This window comes from Homo sapiens, chromosome 3, assembly GCF_000001405.40.
Source record: "Homo sapiens chromosome 3, GRCh38.p14 Primary Assembly".
NCBI classification, from domain to species: domain Eukaryota; kingdom Metazoa; phylum Chordata; class Mammalia; order Primates; family Hominidae; genus Homo; species Homo sapiens.
The window spans coordinates 106,283,293-106,288,057 of NC_000003.12; positions in this window are offsets into that span (position 1 = coordinate 106,283,293).

The following is a 4,765-nucleotide window of genomic DNA, read 5'->3' on the forward strand; positions in this document are numbered from 1 at the left end:
TTCAAGGTGCTGCATAGGTTCTTTTGGCTGCTTATAGTGAAATGAGAGAAGAGAGAAATGATTTAAAGATGAAATTTATAATTAAAATGCAAGTAGAATGAGAAGATTTGGAAAACTCGCTTTGGCCATGTAAAGAAAAAAAAACCGCATATTCAAGAGAATACTAAATGTGTGGCCAAGCATCTCTTTATTAAAGAGATCAGTGTAGGTTCTATTCATCAAGACAATGAGAGAATGTCCCTAAAGTCATTTCAGAGATCTTCAAGGCAAGTTAGAATGTTGAGGGAAAGGTTTCCAGAAAGGCTGAAGACTTTACCATTCACTATCAACTGTCTGCTTCCCAAACTCCAGGGTAGTGCTCCTCAGCCACTCCAGCTAGGGCTTAAGCCAGCTCTGGTACAACTCTAGCCACTGCTCTAAAGGGTAAAAGTGGTAAACCTTGGGGACTTCCATGTGGCGCTAACTCTGTAGGCTCATGGAGTGCAAGAGCAGTGTTAGCATGGCTTTCTCCACCTGGATTTTAAAGAATGTAGGAGACAGCTTCAAGCTTCAGGCAAAAACTTGTCACAGGGGAGTAGTTGCCACAGATAGTTTCCACTAGAGCAATACACAGAGGACCGTGGGTATAGAACCACCACAGAGAGCCCCACACTACTAGGGCAATGCCCATTAAAAACTGAGGAATCAGGAACACCCTACCTGCAGCCTGGGAAAGCTACAGATATGAGAGTCCAACCCATGAGAGCTGCTTGGTGGGCTGAGCCCAGCAAAATTATAACAGTGAGGCTGCTTAAGTTTTGGGGGTCCAACACCCACTCCAGTTTGTCCAGGATGCAGGAAATAAAGTCAATAAAAATTATTGTAGAGATTTAAATTTAATGTTATTCACCTTGTTGGGTTTTGAACTTACTCGAGAATAGTTACATCTTTCTTCTGGCCTATTTCTCCATTTTAGAATGGGAATGTCTATATTATGCCTATCCCATCACCGAATTTTGAAAGTAGATAACTTATTAATTTCACAGGTTCATAGGTTGAGAATAATTTGCTTTCAGATGAATTGTGCCTTGAATCTCCTTCCCCATATCTGATTCAGAAGAGACTCTGGACTTTGGATTTTTGTGTTAGTGCTACAGAAAGTTGAGACTTTGGAGGAAGGAGGCAAGACAGCTGACTAGAGGCAGCCAGGAGGAATATTTGCCACTGAGGGACCAGGACATTGGGAAGACTGGCACACTTCTAGCAGTTCTTCAGAGGGAAGATATTGAGAGAAGATAGAAGAGAGAAGACATACATGTTGGGCTGAAGGGATAGGAAGCTGGGAACCCTGCATGGGGCTACCACACACTGGGACCCATTCCTGGCCCGCAGTGGCTCCTGGGGAAAGGATGAGATGAACAGTCAAGGATCAACCCACTCTCACCATCGGCCTCTGGAATCCTGGCAAGAGGAGACCCCTTAGCCACTACAGACACCTGAGTTGGCAGGGAGATCTGCTTAGAGAAGTGGTAGGGGTAGAGTGCTAGCCAGTGTGGAACCCAGAGGGTTTGCTGCAGAAGCATCTGTAATGGAGCACAGCCAGGGACACCCATCCCCCTAGGCTCTACTTGCTCGCGTGGGAGGCATTAGCCTTAGGGTAACTGTCAGACCTGAACTTTGCAGGGTAGTCTTGCCCATGAGACAGGGCCTGTCTGAACTGAGCCTCATGAGTCTGCTGCAAACCAATCCCAAAACTAGTAGAAGTCAAAAAATAATATCAGAGCTAAAATGAAGGAGAATGAGACACGGAAAAGCATTCAAAAGATCAATGAAGCCAGAAGCTGTTTTGTTTTAAAAAATAGAAATAAAAATAAGATAGATAGACTGCTAGCTAGACTAATAAATAAGAAGAGAGAAGATCCAAGTAAACACAATTAAAGTCAACAAAGGGGATATTACCACTGACCCCACAGAAATACAAATAACAATCAGAGAACACTATGAATACCTCTATGCAAACAAACTAGAAAATCTAGAAGAAATGGGTAAATTTCTAGACACATGCACCCTCCCAAGACTGAACCAGGAAAAAATTGAATCCCTGAACAGACCAATAAAGAGTGCTAAAATTGAATCAGTAATAAATAGCTTACCAACCCACAAAAGCCCAGGACCAGATGGATTCACAGCTGAATTCTGCCAGATGTATAAAGAAGAGCTGGTACCATTCCTACTGAAACTTTTCCAAAAAATTGAAGAGAAGAGACCCCTTCTTAACTCATTCTATGAGACCAGCATCATCCTGATACCAAAATCTGTCAGAGACACAACAAAAAAAGAAAACTTCAGGCCAACATCCTTGATGAACATTGATCCAAAAATCCTCAACAAAACACTTGCAAACTGAATCCAGCCACACATCAAAAAGATAATTCACCACAATTAAGTAGGCTTCATCCCCAGGATGCAGGGTTGGTTCAACATAAGCAAATCAATAAATGTGATTTATCACATAAATAGTACTAAAGACAAAAAACACATTATTTTCTCAATAAGTGCACAAAAGTCTTTCAACATGTTAAAAACTCTCAATAAACTAGGTATTGAAGGAATATACCTCAAGATAATAAGAGCCATTTATGACAAACCAGCAGCCAACATCATAATGGAAGGGGAAAATCTGGAAGCATTCTCCTTGAAAACTGGCAAAGACAAGGATGTCACCACTCCTATTCAACATAGTATTAGAAGTCCTGGCCAGAGCACTCAGGCAAGAGAAAGAAATAAAGGGCATCCGAATAGTCAGAAATGAAGTCAAACTATCCCTGTTTGCAGATGACATGATTCTATATCTAGAAAACCCCATAATCTTTGCCTAAAAGCTCTTTTAGCTGGTAAACAACTTCAGCAAAGTTTTGGGATCCAAAATCAATGTACAAAAATCACTAGCATTCCAATAAACCGATTACAGCCAAGTGGACAGCCAAATCAGGAACACAATCCCATACACAATTACCACAAAAAGAATCAAATACCTAGCAATACAGCTAACAAAGGAGGTGAAAGATCTCTCTACAATGATAATTACAAGACACTGCTCAAAGAAATCAGAGGTGACACGAACAAATGGAAAAACATTCTATGCTCATGAATAGGAAGAATCAATATTATTAAAATAGCCATACTACCCAAAACAATTTATAGATTCAATGTTATTCCTATTAAACTACCAACGAAATTCTTCACAGAACCAGGAAAAAATATTTTAACATTCATATGGAACCAAAAAAGAGCCTGAATAGTCAAGGCAATCTTAAGCTGTAAGAACAAAGTAGGAAGCATCATGCTACCTGACTTCAAACTATACTACAAGATTACAGTAAGAAAAACATATAGACAAATGGAACAGAATAGAGAGTCCAGACACAGGGCCATACACCTATAACCATCTGATCTTTGACAAAGCTGACAAAATCAAGCAATGGGGAAAAAACTCCGGATTCAATAAATGGTGCTGGGATAACTGGCTAGACATATGCAGAAAATTAAAACTGGAACCCTTTCTTACACATTATACAAAATAAACTCAAGGTGGATTACAGAATTAACTGTAAAATCCAAAGCTATAAAAACCCTAGAAGGCAGCTTAGGTGATACCATTCTGGACATAGGAATGGGCAAATACTTCATGATGAAGATGCCAAAAGCAATTGAAACAAAAGCAAAAATTGACAAATGGGACCTAATTAAACTAAAGAGCTTCTGCACACCAGAAGAAACTATCAATAGAGTAGACAGACAACCTACAGAATGGGGGAAAATATTCACAAACTATGCATCTGACAAAGGTGTAATATCCAGCATCTAATAGGAACTTAAATTTGCAAGAAAAAGCAAACAAACCCATTAAAAAGTGGGCAAAGGGCATGAACAGACACTTTTCAAAAGAAGACATACATGTAGCCAGCAAACATATGAAAAAAGCTCAGTATTGCTGATTGTTAGAGAAATGCAAATCAAAACCACAATGAGACACCATCTCACACCAGTCAGGTTGGCTATCATTAAAAAGACAAAATATAACAGATGCTGGTAAGGTTACAGAGAAAAGAGAATGCTTGTACACTGTTAGTGGGAGTATGAATTAGTTCAACCATCGTGGAAAGCAGTGTGGCAATTCCTCAAAGAGCTAAAAACATAACTACCATTCAACCCAGCAATCTCACTACTGGGTATATATCAAAAAGAATATAAATTGTTCTACCATAAAGACACATGCATGCATATGTTCATTGCAGCACTATTCATAATAGCAAAGACATGGAATCAACATAAATGCCCACCAATGATATACTGGATAAAGAAAATGTGGTGCATATATACCATGGAGCCATACTATGCAGTCATGAAAAGAAGATCATGTCTTTTGCAGGAATATGGATGGAGCTGGAGGCTATTATTTTCAGCAAACTCATGGGGGAACAGAAAACCAAATACCGTATGTTCTCACTAATAAGTAGGAACTAAATAATGAGAACGTGGACACAAAGAGGGCAACAACAGACACCAGGGCCTACCTTTGGCTAGATGGTAGAAGGCGGGAGACGATCAGAAAAAATAGATATTGAGTACTAGACTTAGTACCGGGGTGAAAAATCATCTGTACAACAAACCCCTGTGACATGCATTTACCTGTATAACAAACCTACACATGTATTTGTAACCTAAAATAAAAGTTTAATAAAAAGGACTTTAGAGGCTACTGGCGTGGAACGAAGATATGCTG